The sequence below is a fragment of the Homo sapiens genome, chromosome 2, assembly GCF_000001405.40.
Source record: "Homo sapiens chromosome 2, GRCh38.p14 Primary Assembly".
Classification (NCBI taxonomy): Eukaryota; Metazoa; Chordata; class Mammalia; order Primates; family Hominidae; genus Homo; species Homo sapiens.
Window position 1 is genome coordinate 196311845 of NC_000002.12, and position 26324 is coordinate 196338168.

The 26324-nt window shown below is 39.8% G+C and overlaps 1 protein-coding gene across 12 annotated transcripts in view, besides 1 other annotated feature; it reads right to left on the reverse strand.

Moving 5' to 3' along the window:
- Nucleotides 1–26324, reverse strand: part of HECW2 (HECT, C2 and WW domain containing E3 ubiquitin protein ligase 2) — a 399483-nt gene that overhangs the window by 117773 nt on the left and 255386 nt on the right. For 6 of the 12 annotated variants that reach the window (XM_006712646.4, XM_024453020.2, XM_024453021.2 and 3 more), the window contains 7 exons: nucleotides 22580–22674; nucleotides 17731–17806; nucleotides 13136–13305; nucleotides 10634–10776; nucleotides 8495–8595; nucleotides 6708–8081; nucleotides 5430–5525 (listed from right to left, as the gene is read on the reverse strand). In XM_006712646.4, coding sequence (XP_006712709.1) covers nucleotides 5430–5525; nucleotides 6708–8081; nucleotides 8495–8595; nucleotides 10634–10776; nucleotides 13136–13305; nucleotides 17731–17806; nucleotides 22580–22674 — 2055 coding nt within the window. The remainder of the gene's footprint in view (nucleotides 1–5429; nucleotides 5526–6707; nucleotides 8082–8494; nucleotides 8596–10633; nucleotides 10777–13135; nucleotides 13306–17730; nucleotides 17807–22579; nucleotides 22675–26324) is intronic. The other 6 variants (NM_001348768.2, XM_047445197.1, NM_020760.4 and 3 more) reach the window with 2 other exon arrangements.
- Nucleotides 6465–6966: an enhancer, noted in NCBI's record as "H3K4me1 hESC enhancer chr2:197183033-197183534 (GRCh37/hg19 assembly coordinates)". NCBI's record gives its function as "activates a minimal SCP1, AML or CMV promoter by ChIP-STARR-seq in primed H9 embryonic stem cells {active_cell/tissue: H9 hESC(primed)}" and the evidence as "EXISTENCE:reporter gene assay evidence [ECO:0000049][PMID:30033119]".

Below are 26324 nucleotides of genomic sequence, written 5' to 3' on the forward strand. Positions count from 1 at the left end.
TCCAGGTGCAAGTAGACTCTTAGACACCCTAAGACTTAAATATAAATAGGCGCTTTTCAGTGGCTGGACATGAAGGGAAAGTCGGAGAATTAGAAAGTGGGTAAAACTACTCCAAGGTTACTGTCACAGCACTGGTCTCCTCAGCAGGGAACAGAGGCAGGTAGAACGTAAGGTCTTCAGAGTTTACAGTTTTTAAAATCAACATATGTGGGAAGGGCGCAGGGTTGTTTCTGTGATCCCTCTGCTCATCTCATCATCCTTTCCCACTCCCTTCAAATCAGACCTCGGTCTCCACTGGACCACTTGGCTTATGATCGGATGAGGTGTGAATACATCTCAGTGGATGCTGATATTGAGAAGTTAACAACTAAACAGCATGAATTACAACGTATCAGGGATGGGTGGGGGGGTGCTATGGGTAGGGTTTTGAATTGGTTATCATTGGATTTAGTAAAATCAAGCACCTGATTGTTGTGAAATAAATGTATAAATCCACTATAAAAAACTATAATAACCACAGGTATCATCACCAAAATGGCGAGATGATTAAGTTCTAATGAACTAAAGGTACTTTCAAGGAAAATTATAAGCTTTGTGATAAATGACAGATGACAGTGTTTAAAAATATTTTTTTCTTATTTGAACACTCAAGGAAGTAAAATTCCATTTGTATAAAGTACAAAAGTAGGCTAAACTTATCTATGACTTTAGGAATCAGGACGGTAGGTCCATTTCCCCATACGGAGTTGCGGTCAGTGATTGAAAGGGGGTACAAAGGGGACTTCTAGAATGCTGATGGCGTGGCCTGCCATGTATGTTTAGTAGAAAGAATTCGGGAGGCCATATGTGCTCTTTTCTGCTATTTTATTTGAACAAAAAGTTTTTTAAAAAGTCAAGTAGTTGCATATTTGGCACTTTAATCTTCAATTTTTAATAAGGTAGCTTTTTAGTTTAAAAGTATCCATTTTTTCCTCAAAACAAAGTTGTAACCTTAGAGAATAAGAGTCCCTAACCCTAAACATAGTAGAAATTCTAAGTTTAGATTAATTATACTTTTCAGATTCACTGCATGGTTTTAGGCCTTCATTTTAAAAAATACTTTAATAATGAAAGTATACAACCACAAAAATGATAAATGTTCCCCCATAGTTTGAACCCCTCACATAAGTAATAGACGAGTCCTAACAATATGCAACATCCTGGGATCCTATCAGAGTCCACTAACCCAGACTGTTCATCTTGAATCTAGGCCTATTCCTAGAAAAACTACCATTTTGGGGGAAAAACGTTTATACAACAATTCCATATTGTCTCCAATGCAGCAATGGGTTAAGTCACAATTACACTGGAATCAATAAGAGAAAAAGAAAATAGTTTTTCAGAGGGGCTGGGCTGGCGATTGTTTTTTCACTCATCTTAATGCTAAAAAGACCAACATTTGTCACACCGATAATATTTTAGAGGGCTTTAGCCCTCAACTACCTCTAGCTGACAGGACCATCAGTAACATCAGAATGAGAAGATACAGAAAATTCTTAAGGCATTCTGGGCATAATTGAGTCCAAGCTACTTCCCTGGGAGGCTCTCAACAGTGTCATGCTGACTCCAAGGCCTGGAACTTTCTTATTTTTTACGAATCATTAGAATATCTCTCAACCAGAGCTGGAGTTACACAAGCCACCAAGGCCACAGTGCACTCTGTGTGGTCTAAGGCAAGAGTAAGATTTTGAGAACCAATTGGTAGATCACCATCACCACTGATCAAACTTAGTACTAAGTCCAAGATCTGTTCCCTTCTTGAGATGGGAGAAATAAGAATGAAAAAAGAAGAAAGCAAACAAGTAAATCCCTGAAAATATGATGAAAAGGTGCTAAAATAACAAGAACAACAATAATAATGATAAAGAGAAAGAAAAAAGAATCAAAGCCAGACACAGTGGCTCGCACCTATAATCCCAGCACTTTGGGAGGCCAAGGTGGGAGGATTGCTTGAGGCCAGGAGTTCAAGGCCAGCCCTGGCAACATAGTTAGACCCCTGTCTCTACAAAAAATAAAAACACAAAAAAACCAGCCAGGCATGATCATGCTTGCCTATAGTCCCAGCTACTCAGGAGGCCGAGGCAGGAGCTTCACTTGAGCCCAGGAGTTTGAGGCCGCAGTGCACCATGATCATGCCACATGGTGGCCATCAAAGCTCAAACTACACTGCTTCAGTAGCTTGTCCCTAGGGTAGAAAGAGAGTGACCTGCACAGAGAGGAAAGGTGCTGCTGGGTCTAATACAGATGCTGAATAGAGCACATCTATCTGGACCACATGATGTTGGCTCAAACCCCTGCAGCCACTTCCCTAATAGGTGAGGGGCCTCCTTGGGGAGGGCCTCTTTGCATAACTCTATCCCAGAAGAAGAGAAAGCTGAGCACCTTTTGAGTCTTCCTGGTGGGTCTGACCTCAAAGCACTGCAATATATTGAAGTTTCAGTGAAACCCCCAAACCCTCTGATGTGAGGCATTGGTGGTGCCCAATAAATAACATATCACCGTGTAAGCCACCCTCTGCCTCAAACCAGACTTTCAGAATTTACATTCATCTACCCACACAATAGGCCCTTCCCTTCCAATCTCAGATCAGAATACCTGATAGAGGAGAGGGAATATTTGAGACTCTGTGTCAACTTTTACTTGCATGAAATCTTAAACAAATTACTTAATTTATCTGGGCTTCAGTTTCTGCAACTATAAAATAAAAGAATCAGATTAGCTGACTTCTGTGCAACAACCTATTAATTACAGACAAGACCTGCTTCACCTACCTCACAAAATTATTGAAAGAACAAAAAATAAAGGAAAGCATGCAAAAGTGTGCTTTGTAAAGTGTAAATCACCGCAAAAATGAAGTTATAATAACTAACAGTGTTAAAAATCACAACTGTTAGCCTTAAAATTCAATCAGGTCATTTAAGAGATGGGCCAATCTGCACGATCCAGCCAGACACCCCAAGCTGAGCCCAGAAGCCACAAGACACCACAGAGTGTAGATGCCACAGCTGTAAGTCAGACGCATGACCAGAGGTGGTAGCAAAGTTGTCCAGTTAGAAAAGGAGGGCAGGGATCCAGCTGAGGTGAGGACAGACAAGTAGCAAGGGCAGCCAAGCGATTAACACTGTCACAAGGATGAGACACACATGGGAATGGGAGACAGAGCTGAACAGCAATCAGGTATGCTCAGATCACAATCCAAAACCTATCCATGAGAATACACATCCCCAGATTTGCAAGTTGCTTGGTCCTACAGCACGAGTGTATGAGTGTGTGTGTGTGTGTGTGTGTGTGTGTGTGTGTGTGTGTGCATAACTTATATTTTTAGAGGGAGGCATCTTCACTTCTGAGTTTTTAAAATATAAAAATTCTGTTTATATTTTACAAAAAAAAGTTATTTACCAAGTATTAAATAAATTAGCACAGATAAGTGTTTCTTAGAGTGCACACTGTTGAATTTTGGGTGGGACAATTCTTAGTTGTATCAGACTGTCTCCCCATTGCAGGATGTTTGATACACTGGCCCCCCACCCACTAAATGCCAGTAGCACCCTTCAACCACTGTTATACTGAAAGGCCACCCCACCTCAACTCTAAACATCGTGTAGTGGGAGGCACCCCCTGCCATCACTGAAAACCTCTGAATAAGAGGGAACACTTCTTAAGAATTTTTCTCCTGTTTGTCAGTCACTGATTAAATACCATGAGTCACTAAGTTGCCTTTACTTTTGCAAATACATCAACTCATTAAAAGGAACTGCCAATTGTAAAAAAAATTTCCCAAGATGTATCTACGGGTGTAATGCAAACACCAATATTTAAACAATACATTGAGATGTCACAAACATCTTATGTCATTTATGAATTATGGTCATAATTTCAGCAGGAAAGTATCTGTCTTTATTAAATACAATCAGGAGACCAAACTTGTATACAGCAAAAATTACAGCAATTGGATGTGGCTAGGAAGACGTGATTTATCAACACACTTCTGCAATGCTCCTGTCCAACCCTCTGAAACTCTAAATGACTATTAATCTGTATATACATAAAAATAAAGCTCTCCCAGAACTCTCTCCTAGTGTTCTGAATTTGTTTTGCTCCAATTATACCTAAATATCTTCCAGAAACATTTTCCTTTTTTGACTCATCTTTTCTCTAAAGGTTTACCAATTGTTTTATCAATAAGGAAGTTTTCTGTGGCCCTCTCGGGTCCCTGGGCCCCTCTACCTGCTTAAGATGATACAAGGTTAATTAATCTCTCAGTCCATTTTATTTTAAACTGCTTAAAATATGTTTGTTATGAGTCACGGCCCTTAGTTATCCAAATAAACAAACAAGGGAAAGATCTGTGCCCAAAAGAATTTCAAAAGGATTAAGCTGATATTTTGATAAACTCTTCATAGTACCATTCAGCTCTTTTGTCACTACTTGCCAGACTAATCACTCAGAATTGTAACCCTTTAAACGCGTCCCCTCCCTTCTTTATGTTCCACCATTTTTAAAACAGAGGAACCAAAGCATCAGCCTGTTGTCATGGTCACATATAAGATGGGTAAGTGGAGGGGGTGAGCAAGAAGGGAAAGCGGTAAGGCAAAAGGGTATACCTTCCAGTGTTTTTTTTAAAGCAATGTTTACCAGGCTTTATCAATATTCATCAAAATGCATTGCTCTCATAGAGCTACATCTCTTTAAAGGACTGTCGAAATTTAAATAGAGTTTACACTTCATTTGGATTATGATTGGCTAAGGGTATCACTCATACCTTTGAATACAGATTATGTAACTATATCCCAGCATCCCTAATCCTCCACCATTTCTCCTTAAGTGCTAAGTGTTTTCTGAAAGTGAAATAAATGAAATGTCTTTCAAGTCCCCAGCTAATTGTCCTATCCCAAATAACTAGTAGACTAATTTCTGAAATTAACAATACTTCTCGCATATCCCTAAGAAAAAAAATCAGAACCTTGTGCTTAATGATTTTAAATGCTGTAAGTGAACAAAAAGGCAGTATATTACATAGAGTGAGGTTTTTCTAAGAGAGTGTACCAATTTGTCTATTAGCTGAAAGAACATTCATGCTGTGGTTAGGCATAATTTAAAACAATTCTATTATGCACCCAATTTCCCAAAATATCTGGATCTACCTCCATTATTATTTACCCCATGGGCAACACAGGATTTACAGCTGCCCTTTCTTTCAGCATAATGGTGCCAGAGAAGAGTCATTGGCCTAGCACGTCCCGGACTACACCTGCTATGTCAAGTGGCAACCCCCAGATTCCTTCCGCTTGAAGACCATGTATCCATCTTTTGAGACTCATGGGAATGGGTCTGCCTGTCACCTTTCACCGTTTGATTAAGGTGGGCCCTTTTAACTAACAGGTCCTCACTTGGTGGGAGAGCCTCGTCCACCCTCTGGTACCGGCTAACATCCTGGCGCACTGAAGGTAGTGATCGCAGTGGCTGGTGGCCGTTGGCTTGAGAACCTAGGATTAAAGGTAGAAAGTTACCAGGTATTGTTTTCTCTTTCAGTATCAAAACAGACTCTATACAAAAAACCTAACATAATTCCCAAGGCTAGTTTCTTTTCTCTGTTTAGTCTCATTTCCCATATGAGGACCTAGAAACAAAAGAAGAGAATAGGAGGTGAATGCTTAGAAGAGGGCTTCCTGAAGAAATGTCCTCTGCATGTATCCCCCGCTCCTGCAGCTTCCCCTGCCTCATCCCTCACCCATAACGGCCTCTGTCCTGGTCATGCGCTAATGCTTTAGGGTCACATGGTGGCTACAATATAATGAAGGAAACAAAATTTAAAAAAAAAAAGGAGGAGGAAGAAAAGAAGGGGATCATGTAGGTAGAAAAATACATTACAGAAAAAGAAAATCATTCCTATTTCTGAGTTATGCCAGCCAGACATATGAAATTGCTCTTTGATTTTTAATGCATCCTTACAGGGCATATTAAAGGAATCATTCTAGAGAGCTGCATTCACTGAGCGTAATACAAATTTCAGGTGTAAATTTGTGTCCTTGGATACAAAAACAGCTTATTCTCCAAGTCAGAAGACATCACCTAACTTAGTTGACATTCCTAAATTGTAGAAGACAAAAACACTACCTTTGATGCATAGCATACATTAATCTTCCACTGTGAAATTTTAGAAAGGAAGAGTGGCTAGGTGTTTCTCATAACCTTTGCAGATTACACTAAGGTTGAAGCTGCCAGCCTGTTTGGTTGTGTATCTACAAACCCCGGTTCCAATAGAGACCCATTATTTAAGTTTGAAGATTGCTGTTTAACAGGCCTGTTACTTCAGCAGCAGAAGAGCCATTTTTTAAAAGAGCACTGAATTTGAACTCAAGCCCATCTGGATGCAAACCATGCTGCCTTCTTCCTAGCTATGTGATTAAGTCCCAAGGTCTCCCCGCTCAGAAACAGGAGGCCTAATCTAGAGGAAGGGTTTCAGCTGCCCACTCATTTGTTACCTGTTTCCTTCTCTTCCTGGCCCTGTTTTCAATCTTGCCTCTCTTCTTGCCTGCTGAACCTCAAGGTGAGGAATTCAGGTCATATGTAACCTGCAGCCTTATTTACATTGAGGGGAAAACTACAGAACTTCTCTCTGCACAGCTACGCTCGAGCCAAGAGCCACAGTGGTGTCCATATCCTACCTCCAGTAGCGCCCTCCTCCTGGGCAGTTGCCCCTTCACAGGTGCCTTGGGCCTCCCCAGCACTGCCTTCTTCTTGCGGTGGGCTCTCGGCAGCAGCTGCAGCTCCCTCCAGGCTCCCCCTCCGCTGCCAGACCTCCCCCAGCTCCTCCTGGTCAGGTACAGTGGCCGATTCTGCCCCTGGCCCTTCATCCTCCCCACTGGGCACCTGTACCACAGGTAAAGAACCAGCAGTGCACACGGATTCCTGCGACCCTTCGGCAGGGCCACTGCTGGTGGGCTCTGCTGCACAGGCTCCGTCTTCCTCCTCCTGAGAAGAAAAGGCTGGGGTTTCAGGAAACCGTGCGCTCTCAAGAGAGGAGCACCGTGTGTCCACAGAGGACAGCTGCGTGGTCACACTCTCATTGCAGGAGCTGTCAGCGCATTCCAGGTCACTCTCTCCCTCAGGCCTGGTGCTGGCTTCGCTCACACTCTCTGTCCTGGCAGGATCACTGGGTTCTGTTTCAGAGGACACCTGGGAAGGCTCAGAGCCCTGATCGAGAGACTCGGTCTCACTGACGGCTCTTCGGCTTCCTCCTGATGCATCGGAAGTCCCTGTGTCTGCGCCACTTGTGGGCTGATCTACCTCTTGAGAGCCACACAGTTCAGCACTGCCCTGGTCAGCACTGGGTTGAGGCTCTGGGCCGCCTTCACCTTCCTCTGGGGCTGGGCCTGCAGGTAAGGAGCTCTCTGCAAGCTCTGGAAGATTTTCTGGCTTATCCTCAAAGGAAGCAGCTTCGTGTGTGGAGGCTTCCTCATTCTCAACAGGGTTGTCCTCCAGCTTTGTCTGAGATGTCAGGCTTCCATCATCAGCTCTGGATGCCCTGCTAAACATGATCAGGCCTCCCTCCTCCTCCAAGGAAGATGGGTAACCCAGGTCTTGCTGGAACTCGTGATCTTCTTCATCTGAATCAATATGAAGCATGGCATTGAGTCTTGTGTCAGTGGGAAAACTACTCCTCAGTTTCGGAGAGGCACCCATGGACCTCTCAGAGCAGGTCGCTGTCCCCGGCCTGGAGTGGCCATTGTGTTCGATAGCATCTAAGTAATCATTGAGTGAATCCTGACGTCCTCTGGGAGGTGAGGTCCTTGAAGACGTAGAGGTTAATTCCTCTGTGTCTATTTCCAGAGTGGAGCTAGTCCTGAATGAATGCTTGGGGGTTCCATCGGCAGCACTGTCCTCAGAAACTGGCCCATTAGAGCACACCTGGCTGTCGTGATGGCTCCCTGGCATGTCCTCGTCATCGGAAGGGCTACCTAAGTCTCCATTCACAGAATTGACTCCAAGTATTGTGCCAACAGCTTCTGGAGAGGCATCTGAATGAGAAAACAGCATTTCTAAAAAATTAACCAGAAATAATAAGTGAACGTTTTATGACTTATTTGCTTTGCCACCAATAAGTTCAAAGAAATCAGTCATTCTGAGGGCTTTCTACTGACTTGCTAAGATTCACCACTCACTACTAAATGAGGAGACTGCTAGTCAGCTTGGCACAGGAGCTATGTATGTTAGCATGGCTGAAAACTCTACAGCCCAGTTTCAAAATGCAGGCATCAATCTAAGAGACATTTTTGGGCAAACAGCCTTTCCTACTTGCTTAGAAAATTTCAGCAGGTAATTATTTGACAGCTATTTTACTTTCAAAACAGAACATGAATTCAATTCTGTTCAGAAGCAAACTGACAATCGAGTTAGGTTTAACAAGTTTTTCCTATAGCAATGTATTCATACAGATATATTTATATCTCACCTTCATGAACAGAAGACGTAACCTCCACTTTAAACTGGAGGTACCCACTCACGTGGTCAGCTGGGAGCCTTCTGCCAAGGTTGTAGCTGAGCATTTGATCACTGCAAGAAGAGAAATGCTTCTTTCATCCTGACTACGCTGGAGTCAGCCTTCGCCGTCTTTCCACAGGCCACCCACCAAATCCCTCCTATCTCTCTTAAAACTTTCAGACTCACAAGAACATTAAAGGCTCAAAGCCCATTATAGTCCAATGTAATATTATTCATTCATACAAATGGAACACTTATAAACCCGGAGATAAAAGGAAATGTTGCCATAAGAAAAATTATTATTACGAGCACAAGACATCATATGCTATGTGATATTTTTAAGGACACTGATTCACTCTCTCACTTTTAAGGGTGACCAGGAAAAGGACATTTTGAAGGTCATAAAGGAGTTGTGAAAGGCCTCAAGTTTTAGGGGTTTTTTGACTCGGGTGTAAAAGGGGAGAGAGCCTGGTTCCTCGGCATTTAGCACAACAGAAAGCTGGTTCTAAAAGGACACTCACAGCTAAGGATTATCACCCAACATGGCACGTAGGGCACTGTGCTATGCCCTGAAGAACAGGAGCTGGGACTTAGGGGAGAGAAGCACAAGAACACAAGAATGAAAGCGCCCTTCATAGCCAAGACAGCAGCCCTGGCTGTGTGATGGGGAGAGGACCGCTAAGCTCTCCTTCCTCACCTGTAGAGTAAGGAGGCTGGAGCTGCTGGCCTTCCCTGCTGGGAAGCCTGGCCTATCACTGATTCTCAGGGTGCCTTGTAAGCAGTGCTGATGGGATGGTTGGCAAAGCCAGATGTGCCCCTGTGGTGGGGTCATATCCCAGATCTGGAAGCAGGTTTAGTTTTTGCCTTGCCTGGGCCCCGGGCTTGGACTGTCTGCCTCCTGAAGGATGGAGTTTTCCATCTGTTTCAAGTCTGTTTCTTTATCAAAGTCAAATGCAGTCATTTCATTTTCCTGCACACAAGTAACAATCTTATTCTGAATTAAATGACTTATTCTTTTTCTCTCTTTTTTTTTTTTTTGAGACAGAGTCTCGCTCTGTTGCCCGGGTTGCCTAGGTTGGAGTGTAGTGGTGCAATGTTGGCTCACTGCAACCTCCACCTCCCGGGTTCAAGCAATTCTCCCAGCTTCAGCCTCCCAAGTAGCTGGGATTATAGGTGCCCGCCACCACACTCAGCTAATTTTTTTGTATTTTTAGTAGAGACAGGGTTTCACTATGTTGGCCAGGCTGGTCTCGAACTCCTGACCTCGGGTGATCTGCCCACCTCGTCCGCTCAAAGTGCTGGGATTACAGGAATGAGCTGCCGTGCCCGGCCAACTTATTCTTAATTAAGGAAAATCATCAAAAGGATAGTGCCAAATCACTCCACCTCTGCCCTCTAATGGCTATTTCAGAAGGAAGATACAATGTTTCTTCTATCTACTCTTTGCTCCACTGTACAGTTTAGAGCCTCTAGTCAGCTATGCATTATTAATTTGCATAACTTGTTTTTGGTCTTCTCTATCTCCTCAGTATGACTTACTACTTTACTCACAACTTACAAAAAGCTCACAAAAAGAAAATAGACATTAATTACACATTAAATTTTAAGAGAATGTCAATGAATAAATTTTAGTTGCTTGAATGAATGTATATGTCTAGGAGCTTTATTATAACACTTCTTCAAGTCTAGGTCTCGTTTTAAATGGCTCCAAGACAAGATTGTTTCCGTTTTTCAAGAGTAACAAGTTCTCTGGATGGAATTATTTAGGATAAGGTAGGCATCAACCTGATCCAAGAATTCTGCCCCAGGGAGAAGTTTTTATAAAAAGCTCCAATATACTGAGAGACAATCAAACACTATGAGATTTGACACTGAAATATTAACAGTGGGTACATCTTGGAAAAGATAAAGACGCAAAAAACATATATAATTAAAATAAACTACTTTTTTGTCAAGTACATTTTAATAAGTGTAAGGACACTTTTATTTTTAAAAGAATTGTGTTACTACTTCTTATCAGTATGAAAAGTCCTAGGACTACCAAGTTTCATGTCATTTTTTCCTATATGAACTAATCTCAACAAGATCCCCAAAGGTAAGGGCTGATTACCCGATGGCTTGTCGCTCCAGCAGCCTCTGGACTGGAATGGTTAGTTTCCCCAGAAAACGCTTGATGATGGGACGGCTCTTGGCAAATTTGTCTTTAATTTCAATTTCTAAGACATCAGTAAGAAGTGCAAAAAAGGAATATTTCTGAAAACACAAACAGATAACATGCTGGTTTAAAAGAAAGACAAATATGATACTATATCATTTTATTTGTATAGGAAATGGTATCTCTTAAATTCTAACAACATACAGAGTTCCACATAGCTAGAAATAGCTGCAGCTATTGTCAATCCTTTATTCACTCAGAATGATTAGCATTCACCATGATTAAAAAGCAGCAGTCAAGGATCTGTATGACAAAAGAAGCCCTCTCAGTCAATCATGCAGCCCTTCCTAGTTTCACAGTTTTAGGAGATGTTATCAAATATTAAGTTATGCACAATGCAATTTTAGTACTCCCTACATTTATTGTATCTCAATTCTTTGATATTTAATATCTTGTTATAGAATGGATTAGAATTAACTAGTATATTTGATTGACAATTTGAATTCCTAATCTCATGAAATTCTGAAGTTGCAAAACATAGTTGAAAATACTCCTCCACTTAGTGGTTAAAATAGGAACATCTGCAGAATACTGTGGTTTCCCTGATAAATGTTAAAAGAATGTTTAAATGGAATTTTTCCTTAAGTTTAAAAGGCATACAGGGTCATTTCTTCTGGGACAGAAAAATAAAAGTATGAGGTTAAGATAGCTTTTGTTGTTTTCATTTTAAGAATGCCACTGGGGAAATTTGGATCGGACATTAATAAGGATATAAAATAAATATGAAGAGCTTTACTCACAGAGACTTTTACATATATTATCTTCACTTTATCTTTACAACGATGTAACTTTCTTTTTGAAGATGAGAATCTCAGGATAAGTAAATGATGGTGCCAGGAATCTAACCTAAATTATTTCACTGCTTCCCTGACAGTATCCATGCAACTATAGTGATGTGAATAGTGTTAGCCAACTTTTCACTTAGGTGCCTCTAGGTTTATCTAGTCATAACAATTAAGGTTTTCCAAAGGGCCAAGCAATTTGGCAGTCTGCTTAATGGAAAAAAGTACTTGCTTAGAATAAAAAAGCCGAGTTTAATCCCCACTTCTGTCTCTGAATAGCTAGTCCCATAAACACTTTAAGCTTCAATTTCTTAATCACCAAAATGAAGACATAATAATCTCATCCTTCGTGCCTCCCTTTCAGGCTTGCACTGGTGACATGGTCAAAAACTTTGCAAATTTAAAATGTTAGGAAAATAGTTACTGCTTGTTTCATTATCATATCTATTATGTGCTTTCTAGAATCATATTGAGATATATTTTTATTTCTTCTAGGCTTTGAAATGCATTAGACTAAGTGGCATGCCCTTAAGAGTTTTTTTTGTTTTTTGTTTGTTTTTTTTTTTTTTTTTTACCATGATGAGATCATTAGTAGTTTCTTAAACCAAGTGTAAGAATACAAGCAATATTCAATATCTAAAACCATAGGAACTGCCCAGGAGAAATGCCTTGCTGTGTTGGCAAGTCTCAGATAACTATATCTTTTCTGCAATCGGTTTTAGATCCCCTGATATACCTCTCTCCAATTAAATATTTCTACAATATTGTTAGAACATATTGTTGTCATTAAATATTTAGGGTATGATCTAATTAACTGTGTAACTCCTATGCCAGCCCAGAAAGATTTTCACACTAGTTATGTAAAACATGCCTCAGATCTCCAAGAAATGGAGGGAGAGCTCAAGCTTTGCTCACTAGATAAGAAGTGTCTATTTGTTCATTCTTTGACTTTCCGTAGTTCAAATGAGAAAACCCTTTGCTTGATTTCACTGATATGGTGCACTAAGATGACTGGTAGCATACTGTAGCTGTGAGGAAGTCTAAAATACCATCAACACAATCTGGCTTCACTCAGGATGATGACTCCTTGAATGGCTCATCTAATTAACAAAACTCTAGAAATTCATAAAACATTTGCCAAAGCCCGCAGAGAGAGAAATTCCTTTAATTTGTACTAAATGTATGCTACAACAAAATATCAAAATTTTAAATAAAACAAGATCAGTATTGCTGATTTTTCCTCTTGCCTCAGGCCCTACTATGACTCTACAAGGCAATGTTACTGATCCTGTCCTTATTTTAAATGTTCATATTTTATTCATTATGAATTTTTTGCATTAATTGTGAGTTAAAAAAAACTGCATTAAGACCTTTATTTTAACAATTGAGTTTTTTGGAGGCTCCTTAAATTGTTCCCCTGATGTGACAGCTTCATTTGTCTTACCCTAGACCTGGCTCTGGAGAGATGGGAATAGCTCATTCTCATTGTACCCCTTCCCAGCAGAACCCCTAGACACTTCATAAACAACCTGAGGGATGCAAAAGTCTCAAGGAAAGAGAGAGACTGGGCTGACTTCCTCACCATCAAGTAGGAGACCCCCGAGGATCATCTTACCTCTCGGTGCCAAATTGGATTGGTGGTGTTACTGATGATAGTAGACCGTCTCTCCTGCCCGTGGTGGGCACAGGTGGGGAAACTGCTCTTCTTTCCTGGCTGAATTGACATCTTAAGATAAGGGTCAGGATTGAAGAACATCCCTTTCTTTAGCCCAACTGCCCTAAGATCTTTAAAGAAAGAGGGAGAAGGAGGGAGGGACAAAGAGAAAGCAGGAGGGAGGGAGGAAAGAAAGGAGGAAGGGAGAGAACAAGGGACAGAAGAAGGAAGGATTCATATGTCCTGATTAGAACAAGCAGCTCAAAGATAATTTGTTCTTAAATAAACACACAGGAGGCTCTAAACAGAAACGGCTCTGTAACACAATAGCAGTTATTCACACTATGATTGCTTAGATAAGTGAAGACAAATGGGTTATGGTAGTAATTTCAGCAGAGGGGTCACCTAACAGGCCGCAAAAGTGAAGCCAAACCTTTAGCACCACCTCACATCCCTAAACTGACTTTTCCTGGGAACTCTTTTGATTCCAACATGTGCATCTTCACCACCTTTTTCCTAGGGCAATGTAATTCGGCAACCAGAATTTCAGACAATGTCTTGAGGGAAATACTGAGTAAGCAGTTCACTGAAAAACATGTTCCTTCATGAGAGAAAAATGAATCTTCTACATATACATAGAACTAAGTTTAATTGGAGATGAAACATCAGAGCATATATCCATTTGTACCACAAAATGTCATATATATTCCATAAATGTGATGAATGTTAGGGGAAATGTTTTCTGAAATGTAAGTGCTACCTGCTATTTTAAATAGCCAGTAAAGTAACTTAAATATTTGAAGAATGTCCTATAACTCACCTTAGATTCACAAATTGCTGTTTCACACTATATGCTGCTAAAAGTCCTAGCCAAAGTCCATTTAGTGAGGAGACTGTATGTTTTTCCATGGTCAGGCTAAGAGACACAAACATGTCAGGAAATAAAGCTGGCTCCACTGAGTCTTCAACATTTCTGAGAATATCAGTTTGAATAAGATAGGCCTGGGAGCTAAATAATCTTAGAAAATGCTGGAAGATTAATCTAGGGAGGTTCTGAACACTGTGGTTCAGAGAGAAATTCTGCATATGGCCCCTGAACCTCCAAAGACCTTTGAATTACCCAGATTAGCTGGCAACCAGATCCTGGATAGTGACTCTTAAATTATAGGAGGTCACCAGGGTCATCCCACATAAGCCCATTCCTGAAATACAAGGTCTTTCTTAGAAAAATAGAATTGGCCTGAAATTGCCCATAGAACCGTATTCTTGAAGGAGAGCTCCCAGGAGGTGGCTCACCAGTGGCCCACAAGAACTCATGGCCCAGGTACATGTGCTGAAAACACTCCAGAAAGGTCTAATGACACACACCTGGCAGTAGAGGCGGAAAGTTTGATATATCTGCAAATATTTAAAAATTAAACTAAGAGCAATTTTTTTTTTTTTTGAGACAGAGTCTCGTTGTGTCGCCAGGCTGGAGTGCTGTGGTGTGATCTTGGCTCACTGCAACCTCTGCCTCCTGGGTTCAGGTGATTCTCATACCTCAGCCTCCTGAGTAGCTGGGATTACAGGCACGTACCACCACACCCAGCGAATTTTTGTATTTTTAGTAGAGATGGGGTTTCACCATGTTGGCCAGGATGGTCTTGATCTCCTGACCTCATGACCTGCCCACCTCTGCCTCCCAAAGTGCTGGGATTACAGGCGTGAGCCACTGCACATTGAGAACACTGCATGAAATATATAGCAAGATCTTTGATCTGAAAACCAGTAGGAGAAGGAAAAGACGGGTAAAGAACTAGATAGGCACTTCAGAGAGGCTGCCATAATCTCATTAGCCGTGCAGTCCCCATTCCTGACACTTCGTAAACTATGTACTCATTATTAAATGCAGAATTTGCATCTTACTGTCAGTTTAATGATGCTACTTTCACTTGGCTTTCTTCAGCAGGGAACAGCTTTGAGAAGAAAATGCAATTGCCACATTCATTTTCTTGCCTTTCTTGATTATGTTGCCCTTGAACCCAGACAGAAGAATGATATTCTTTATATATTAAATCTATGCCCAAAAAAGGGTTCTCTTTGTAGTAAATAAAGAGTAACATAGACAGAAATGAATGCCACAAGGTCTGACAGAGCTAAATCATTCACAAAAAATATTCCTTTGAACAAAAAGCATTCCACCAGACAATTAAGTCACTGCGATAAATAATATCACTGTTAGATAAGCCTGATACAAAATTTTTCCACAATGGGACATTGTACAAATAAATCTTCCTTAATAAATACAATAAACTACCAGTGATTTTTAATCTGATTATTCAGTTCCCTTTATCCATCTCATTTCTGATCTTTTCTTTTTTGTCTTTTACATATGCTATTGCTCACAAATATCCACACCATATAATAGGCCAAAGAAGGACTCAAAGTCACAAAGGTTTGACGTGTTAAATATCCTAAATAAAGCCTTATTTGCAGCATGTTTAAAATATTAATGAAAATACATTTTTAATTTTAGCCATAAAATTCAAGTATTTGTGCCCCTACCTATCCATAGATAATCAAGAGTGGAACATTTGTAGGCAGCCATTCTAAAGTGCTTAAATGTTCTCAGATAAATATTATCATCTGCTGTTAGTATGCTACAACCAGATTAATTTTTAGAATTAACATTATAGAATTGGTTTCAGCTCCTAGTCATTTCTGTACACTGTCTGCAAATGTCTGGCTATATGGTAAGAAATAAAACAGATGTTAGGTAGCTAGCCTCCATGTGAATAGAGGTGCGATGTTGGAAGAAATGTGTAAGGAAGAAGCATTTGGCTGTGCCTCAAAGCTTACTTCCTACTTTTTAGGAAAATGCCCTAGGATTTTTAACTTGCAGATGGTCATTCTCACATAGTCAGTTAATAACATCCCATCTGGAGTCAAAACCAATAAGTGTGTGTCATGCTTAGAATGATACGGATCACCTAAAAGCATAGGGTAATAATTTTAAACTAAGAAACCCATGGTTTATATCAAAACATCATGCTGTACACCATAAAAAAATTTTTTTTACCTGTAAATTAAAAAAACAAAAACAAGAAACCCATGGTGTGGTCATACTCTAAATTTTCTGAGCTATCAGGGTCGACAAATTGTTTCCTGCCTGTCACCAGGGATTTTAGTAGCTTCAGACCCTCAATACTGTGAAGGTTTAAAGCACAGGTGTCCAGCCAAAATGTTTTTAGGAAACAGGCAGATAAGAGGGGTAGGGAGATAGTACCACAGGCAGTGGTTATTTTTAGTGCCCTTCTGCAAACCTAGATATTTTTTAAACCCTGATGGTTCCTAACAAAACAAATTTATTGGCCAAATTTGAACCATAAGTCACTAGTTTACAGCTGCTGAAATTCACCAGGGAAGCCAAGCAAAAAAGCAAGCTCATATGGGAAAAGGAGAAACATGCAAAACCAAGCACAGATACTCAGAAGGCCATGGGCCAGCAATGAACTGATGTGTACACTTTAGTCATATGTGGTAATTATGCTTTGTGGAATAGTCTGTTTCAGGATCAGGTCTTTTAACGCTCACTCTCACAACACGTTTTTTGTTTGTTTGTTTGTTTTTTGCAATCAAGAAAAGTGGATCTAATTTAAATTTTGGAAGTACTACAACTACAGAAAAATGAAAACAAAACATATTCCAGTGAAGGAGATCCATTAGACTTTATTTTCTATGTATTGTAGCATAGTTATCTGTTTTAAAAGTCTATTTCAAATATGGATTTTCTTATTCTTGACTTTATGACTACCAATTTATTTTCTAAAATCAGTGCCCTTCAAACTTTTTCAACAGTGTCCTATGTATGAAATACATTTTACATTGCAACCTACTACACATAAATATAGGGATGTATATTATTGTATATGAAAATTTTCAGTTTATATAAATTGATGCTTTACCCAAAAAAAATCCCTTTAGTGGTAAACTCTGACATTATTCTTTTTTTTTCAGTTACTGATTTTAACTAAATCAAACTTACAAACTGGAAATGAGTCTTGTCTCATAACTTGAAAAGCCGTGCTTTACTTGTATGGTAAACATACAAGCAATTTGAACATTTTACTAATCAGAAAACAAGCCAAAAATAATTGGCTTATCCACTTTCCAATTTGCATGTGTATTCCTCCACAGATAAAGAAGTATATTGGCTTTTGTTTTCCAGTCTTCAAATTTTTTCTTTCTCTAGCTGAAGTAAGAATAAATTATTTTCAATAATCAAAGCTCCTCAGTGAGGTTAGCACATTACGTTACAGTTTTTCTTGAAGTAACTATACATAGTTATATAGACTGTCTATCGCCAGAAAACTTGGTAGAAGAAATAATTTCTGAATTTATATTAATAATTAATTTATCATGGTAAGAGATATACTTGAATTTTCAGAAGTATGACCCCCCAAAACTAGTTCACATATCATCATATCATATACGAAAGTCTGCAGAAAGAAGTGACTATTCATACCTTCGAAACTGTACACTTTCAAACTGGATGTCACGTTTAAAGACATTCTTACCTGACAATGTAAAGCTAACAAGTTTTCGAGAATGCAGGTTTCCTGAAGCACCTCCCTCCATGCCTTCTGCCCCCATCTGAAAAGAAAAAACATGCATCTGAAGTTTCAGAAGCATATGATGCCACTGGATCTGACTAGGAAACCATGTATGTTCCTAAATGCAATGATTTTTGCATCAAACGGGTATTGTATCATGTGTCCTTTCATTTCCCAATCTTGGAACAGAGACACAAATGCTGATTCTTGGAGGAAAGACTAAAATTTAATCTTTACCACAAATAAAAAATATATAAGCTTCAAAATTTCCAATAACTATGAATCAAACTATGTCTTTTTTTCCCTTTGATAAGAATATAGTTGATTTGTAGTAAATATATTACTATTACTATATTAAACATTCTCTTTAGTTAAAAACCAAACATCAAGTTCCTTCAGATTTGTTAGGAAAACCTAGAATAAACGAAACAATTGATTCATATCAGACCTACCCATATATACAGAATTATGCTCTCTCGTCAAGTATTTCTGAAAATCCACATGGAGTCCTATCTCCCTTGTAGGCTTGTGTTCTATTGTGCTGCAGGTACATGGCACATGCTACTATAATTAGCAATAATAAGAATTTGCAGTGCTATTATACTGATAACCTTTTCCTGAAAGCTTTTGAGTAAATTATACCTCACAAGAAGCCAGTAATTTATAAACCACCTAGCAAATTTAGACCTTTCTCTCAAATTATGTACAATTAATGCACAATTTGTGGTACATTAGGAAGAAAAACCTTCATATTACTCTGCAAAATAAGTCAAAAGAAGTCAACAGAATTGAAGGCAGAATATACCCAAATGTGGGAAATAGAACCACATTTTAATTCTGAAGTTTAGATTAAATTCTTCTGACAAAGATTATTTCCTTGAGCAAACTTTACTCAGGCTCTTTGGAGCTCTCTGCTCAACTAGGCAGGCCTTGGGCTTTTATCTCCATCCTTATAGAGTTTAGTTTTAGCAAAATCCCTGGTAAGTCAGTTTAGAGTCAATCCCCACCCTCAATATGTGATCACCCTTGATATCAGATCGAACTCCTCATCTCCCACCAACCTCCATGCGATATCTGATCACTCTGGCCCCGCCATCAGCAAGAATTCTGTTAGGTCAGTTTAACAAGAATCCCCCTAAGCTCTTGGTAAATTTCCATCTGCCAATCCCTCCACTCCAACCCTGCTTCTTGGCTACTAACCCCCACTTTCCCTTGTTGTATCTGGAATTGAGCCAATTCTATATTGAGTTCTCTTTTCCCCTAATGCAATAGTTCGTGATTTGAATTTGCTTTTACTACTTAACTACTGCCCAGGTCTGATTTTTTTTTTAAACTCTTTCTCCCCTTTATCTTTGCTGCATTCCCCACACTCTTATAAAAATCACACATCCCCAGGAGATAAAAGCCATCACTAATCCAAGCAAAGTTGAGAAATTCCATTCAAATTTTGAAGTATAAATTTCTACTGCCTCCGCTGTAACTCCTGTACCTTAGTCAAACTATTTTGTGTGCCACTTAACTGCATCCTGATTGCTTCACATGTCCTCTGCAACACACCAGGGTCCATCCAGGTATCTGTTTTTCCTTCCATCTATAGATCCAATTCCTGGGTCATAGAGTTGGCTCTCAACAAACATGTGTGGTTTATTATATTGTATTGTACTCCTCTGACTCAGCGTTTCCAGATTAACTAGGGCAGAGGCAGCAGTACACTGGCCAGAGAACTAACTGCTGTGGCTATCTCATCCTGCTTTCACCACACACTACGCTGGACTATGACTGAGACACACCCTCGGTAACCTGCCATTCCTTCTGTGCCTGGGCACAGGAAGATATCCTAGAAACTGCGGCCTCTCTGCAAATGGGCCACACGCCCCAGTAAGATGTGCCACCCCTCAAAACACATCTCTGTCAGCTATGGATATTTGTGCTAAATGAGTTTAATGAGGCTGAAACAATTCATAACCTGTCTTCATTTAAAACCTATTTGAAAATTATAAGAAATTATGAGAAACGAAAGAAAATGTCCTCTAATTCTCATTTTTCAAATGTAATTCACCCTCTGGCAAAAGGCTTCCTGAAACAATTCTCAAAGACTTCACAGAAAAAGTGTCCTGAACAACAACTCTGGCAAAATGCTCATCTGAAATCATATCCAAATAATTCAATTTTTATCATTCATTACAATAAAGCCAGGAAAAACCAGGCATTACCACTAGATACAGGGATATTAGGGATAATAAACACATCTGCACTCAATGTTTAGAGACTAGCTTTAAAATAAACTCACTCCATAGATTCATTCCAGGAAAACCCAGAAATAAGAACGTCAACCAAGTGTTGAAACAATACATGGTAGTGAGTAATGGCAGCCTTAATTTGTCCCTGAAGCCGAAAGATTTCCTGTTCCAAGTATCTAAGACACATATCACTGTGTATGCTGATGAATGACAATGAAAACAAAATACAAATGACAGAGAGGTCCCCCTTTTTTTTTTAATCTTCAATTCATCGCAATAGGATACGTGAGAAAAGAGACCACATGATTAGCATGACAGCTCATTTCCTTCCCTGTGGAGTTTCTCAATTACATCTTCCAGGTCTATTCTTTGTATCTGGCCATGGTATAATTGTACTAAGTGGGATTTGTAAGTATCAAGGATGTTAATCAGTCACATAACTAAACACATGTCATATACCTAGATGACCATCATGCTATTATAGAAACATAGTCCTGATCCCCAAAATGAGGTGCCCATGAGGTACAGCCTTTCAATTTTGGACATAGACCAAACTGTCTCAAGCTTGGTCAGAAATCGATTAAAGACCCATGGCATTATTCAGTCTCTGAACCAAAATACACTATACTGATTGCCAGTGTTGTATCTGTGACACTTTCAAGATGCTCTGAAACCTGTTTGAAGCAAATTATCTCCAAACTATCCACAGGCTTTGACAGAGCAATCTCAATGCAAAAATCAATGGAATAAGATCAGTGTTCAACAAACCGTAAACTCCCACTGCCTTCAATGATATCTAAATACTGAAATTGCTCAAGTCTAAAAAAATCTAAATCCAGAAAATGCTTAAAAATGTTTGGAAGCTGTTGTCTAATTTCAGACACAATGATTTTTTTAAAGATTTTATTAAAAACAGCCCCACTCTTCTAGTTTTGTAACTTTCCGTTTTTAGAATATTAACTAAAGTCTGTTCCAGTGCTTACTATGTGACATGGCAGACTTTGTAATCAACAATTGCTATTCTCTTTGTGACCTTCAAAGTCTTATATAGTAAATGTAGGCTTCTCTTCTATGTTCTACACTATGTTTACTACAATGGAAACTCAAATATAATTCTAATGTGAGCAGAGTACTTAGATGTTGAGGATTTTGCACACACTATTCCCTCTGCCTGCAACGCTCTTCCCTCCCTCTTCACCTATAAAACTTCTATTCATTCTTCAGCTTGTCTCTCGGACACACCTTCAGGTAAGCCTTCCAGGAATTTCCTGATCAGGACAAATCCTACTACACAGAACATGCTCTCTTGCCCCATTTTGCTCCCTCTCATACAATTATCACTCAAATAAATATAATATTTGATTGATGTCTCTCTTCTGCACCAGACCTACGAGATCAATGACGGCGTTTTTCTTCATCATTTCATCTGTAGTGGTGGCACAATGCTTAGTACTTAGCAGACATTTAATGAATATTTGTTTAAATGAATAGATGAGAGGGAAAGACTGCTTGATACAGTGCTTGATAGGTACAAGCACTATCAGAGACAGCATAGGGTGAGTCTGAACAATTTCAAAGTGCCATTTGCAAAGACTGCTTTCTGAATTTCAACCTGACTACTTGCCTGTTTCCAAAAATGCAAGCATCTATAAATGTGTATATACACATACACCCACACATACAATGTTGTAAAGATTCTATGTCATAGGAGTCAGTATTTTTTCTATGCTTTCATGACCTCATTTTTAGTAATGACTAATTAAAACTGAAGTAATTTACATATCTTAGACTCTAAGAATCTCCCCAAACCATCTGAGTCCAACCACCCATATACAGTGTAGCTGTGTATTGTGAGACTGTTAGATTCTAAAATAAAATTTAAAAAATCACAAAATTGCCATGTTGGAAATGGGCAGGCTTTCTTTCAAAAGTCCAACACAACAAGTTTCCTACAAAAGTAAATTAGGTATCTGTTTCTTCAACTGAAGGCCTGACTTCTGAAGTCAACTTCTGAAGTTAAAGAAGTTGACTTCCATTGAGTGGCCACATTTTACCCAAAATATGAGCCATATCTCTAGACACTAGATCCAAACTCAGCATTGAGAAGGAACCAGCACTAAGACCTTAAGGAAAACAGTGCATTTGTGACTGCCAACTTAGACTCCCTTCCGAGCAACGGCTCCTTAAGTTGACTGGCAGGTAAATCACCCATAATTTAAATAGTTAAAATTCACATAAGATGCAATGCCACTCTTTCCTACCAACTGGTCACCCACACTAAGTTTAAACCTTCCAAAATGGGGCACTTGCTACTTTGCTTCATGAATGGGTTCCCCGGAGAGTCGACTCTACAAATGGCTGTTACAAATCAAATCCTATGTTTCCACTGATTCGAATTAGGGATTCAGGTGTGCCAACCTTGTAAGCTATTTCCTTTCCTATAACAGTGCCCACACTGTTATGTGTTTCCTTTTTCATTGTTCCTCATAACCCTGTCAGGGCCGCACAGGTAAAAATAGAAATCAAGACCCAGCATGGATCTCACAAGGAAGCTGGCAGCGAGGGGCACTCACCATCACAGCTGGGTTCTTCACGGTGATGCAGGGGGTCGTGGCTCGCAGGGCTCCACTAATGCCGTGGTAATATTTAAAACAGATTTTTATCTCCGCTGCAAAGCAATTGGAGAAAACAGTAATTTAAACAGTGAAACAAGTCATGGAGGAATCAGCTGTGGAAATCCACCATACCACCTCTCAGGGAATCCTACTCATGACTCTGAATGACCTCTTTTTTCCACTCAGCGCCAACAAATTACATCAATTTCTGTTTGATTTTATATGCTCCTCCAAAACTTTGTAACCTCTTGAACATATCAGAAAAATGATGCACCAAAACAACATGCCAAAATAGAAATAGTGTAGCGATAAGAATGGGACTAGCTGGCATTTATTGAGGTGCTCCTTAACGTGCCACAATGTTATGTCTCACGTTCATGTTGTTAGTGAACCCTCACAGAACCTTGGGAGGCAGAAATTCCTTTCCCCATATTACAGAAGAGATGTTGAGGTTTGCTGCAGGTCAGACAGATAAGAAATGAGAGTCAGGACTCAAACCTGAGCTGTCTGATTCCAAAGCCTTCACTCATAACCTCTATCTACATTGACTGTAGCTCTCAATGGAAATAGAGGAAAAGCAGTCTAACAAAGCATGGAAGTATACTGTAGTAGATTCTCTAGTGACAGGATCTGTAAATTTATATTATTTTAATTTTCCAAGTCATTTAAATACACCCAGTAGACAGGGATCAAATCTACAAACAACTGATGTCTATATCTCACAGCTTGTGGCAATCCACACATTTCATACATTTTTTTCTGATAATTCCACTTTGATAGAAAGTAATACAAATGCCAATTATGGTTTTTGGAAAGTAACTACAATTCCAAAGCACGAAACCAAACTGTGTTAAAGATAAACCTACAGTCACTGGAATTTCTCTGTATACAAAGCGTCTGAGTCACTGAAGTGTCACTGCGAGATGCATTTCTCCCAAGGTGTCGTTCTAAATATGCAAGGATGCTGATGGGCAGGCCCTGGAGGGAGAATCCTAGGCTACGGGAGGGAGTTCCTCTCTCAAATGAGTCACCAGGACTATTAAAGTGGGGCTGCTCAATGTATTTCCCTAAGGAAGTTCATCTTTCACTGACTTTCTCGACTGTACCAAATGGCCTCCTGCAGGGTCTTTGGTTTCCTTATTTTAAGAGAAAGATATGATAACTGAAGAAAAATCCTCTTCCAGGAATTTATATCATTACACTCTTCCTACCAATGAACAAATACTAAATCTCAAAAAAACAAAAGTTGTTATGGGGTAAAAATATTGAGTCCTTATATTATTTATGTGAGTCACTATCCAATAATTCATAATTTAATAAGCATCATTGGCCAGAAGATTTTTACTACGTACCTGCCACAGCACATGGCCAGGAAGCAATGTGCCAGAAAGTGCAAGGGAATCAAGGAAAGGTTTCTGGTCTAGTGGCTGTTCTGTAGTGTAGCTGCTGAGATGCCAATCACAGGCATGGCAAAATACAAAAGACACACACTAAAAAGGAAGAGCACCAGGTCGAACAGCATAGAGAGCGTAGAGAAGATGAGAGAGGACATGGTGGAGTCAGAAAGGTGTCATGGAAAAAACAGGTCTAATGGATGAGCAAAATGGGGCTAGAGAGAGTTAAGGAGTGGCAAAAGCAGGGAGGCACAGATGAAGCATGCTGGGTTTGAAGAATGGCGAGATGACCTACGCAGGAATTCTAGCTTTACTATTACTTTGCCTCCCTGAGAACTCTTCTGCAAATGACTTTCCTGAACACAAACACAGATTACTGGTTATTTCTGAAATAGTAGTAGCTGGACAGACCTGAGCAAACTTTACTCTCCCACTTGCTTTTTTCCAAGACGAATAGCATGTAGTCTGCAAGAACAAAGCTAAGTAGTGTGCACGAGGACGGTCCGAGCAGAATAAAGTGTGGTAACATGCATGGGGATTGAATTCTCTGGACATGAGCTCATTGGTATCACACTCTTCATGCTGGGGAAGCAAACATCCGTGGCTCTGTCTACAGGCAGCACCTCATAGATCAAATCAATGGTTAGCGAGTGAGCAGGCCATTTTTCCACAGAGAGAAGTGCATTTTTATAAGATATCTTCCCCTAACTCTGTCTCAAGTTAGGATGCCATCTTCTTTTCCTAAGGTTTTAATAGTCGACTAGGTAACAGACAATGAGATAAAAAAAATGTGACTGCTTATTTTTTTTGGAGGATGATGATAATCATGCCAACTTTGCTAGCTGACCCATTTTGGGTGTTACTTTATTCCTTGCTATAACAAAAATCTCCAACCCAGATGACAAAGTAGAATCCCTGAAACTAAGATCAATGTATCTCGAATTGCACAAAAGTAGATTTTGTGGGCATGATCCAATCCCCCCACCCCCACCAGTGCTACAGAGCTGTGTGTCGCAGGAACAAAAAGCTGAGGGGATTTCCACAGATCACCCATTACAAAACCACACACGCTGGTCACTAGAGAGGAAAACAGTCCTGGACAGAATGAGGAGTGGTTTGCGTAGGGATGAAAACTAGCTGGATCCTTCAGCAGGACATCAGTGAAGATTCCTGCCCCTAAAAATATCAGAATGTTCCACTCTGAGTGGGAGTTTTCATCTTTAAATGTTATTTAATGTTTTAGAACATCATACAAGATTTTTTAAAATGGTGTAACTAAGCAACATCCCCTCTGACAAAGGGGGAGAGCAGCATTTTGATTAATATATTTGAATATTTTGGTTATTGGAAGAGGTAACGGAAGAATGCTCAGAAGGATGGAAAAGGGAAGTTGGTGCCCAGGGGCACAGGCTTCTGTTGCACCTACAATGTGTAACCTCTGACTGCAAGAGGAGCATTTTTTTTTTTTGTAAAAAGCTATTTCTGAGAAATATATACAAAGGCAGGTGGAAGTAAGCACAGGCACGATGACTGATTAGGGAGGACCCCAGTGATCCACAGAGCCCAGCCCTCCTGTTCATAAGCAGGAGAGATGGAGGACATGGACCAAAGAGCAATGAATGAGTCCATCTATCCTAGCTGCTTTTTCCCACAGCCTGATGTGGCAGGCAACATCTCCCCCTGCTGGCCTCAAATTATGGGAAAAAAATAAAAAAATATATATATATAAAATATATATTTGTATAGAAACATTTTAATATTTGCATATACTTATATGTATCCAAATATATAATATATGTTATATATCTATCTACCTCCATTCTTTTGGGCTATAAAAAGAGTATTTTGAATTCACTAATCGAAAGCATGTTGCCTCAGAGGGCAGTGAGCTAGGAAAAGGGAAAGGCATCCTGTACGAACCTGTAAGGACCTGATATCGGCTGAGCCAGGTCTAGCCTCAGGAGGAAGAGAACAGAGGATGAGCGGCATCTGCTCTCTGAGGTCCCTTCTGGACAGCTGAAGCCAGTCATAGATCATGGCAATATAAGGGCCCCTTTTGATAATCTTCAGGATACATTTGCTTATAGCATTGCTAAAATACAGATTTAGCACTCTGTATTTGAATATTCTTTAAACAGAAAAGCCCCATTATTTTCAAATTTTTGACTTACTAATTTTCATAAATACAAATGAAGATGTCCCTCAGGGTAGCAGCATGCCTGCTCCCCTCTACCATGGGTTGGAGGGTGGTCATTTGTGAGACGTCACTTTGGGCATATTCCAGGGCAAGTTGGGGAGGCGGAGGGGCT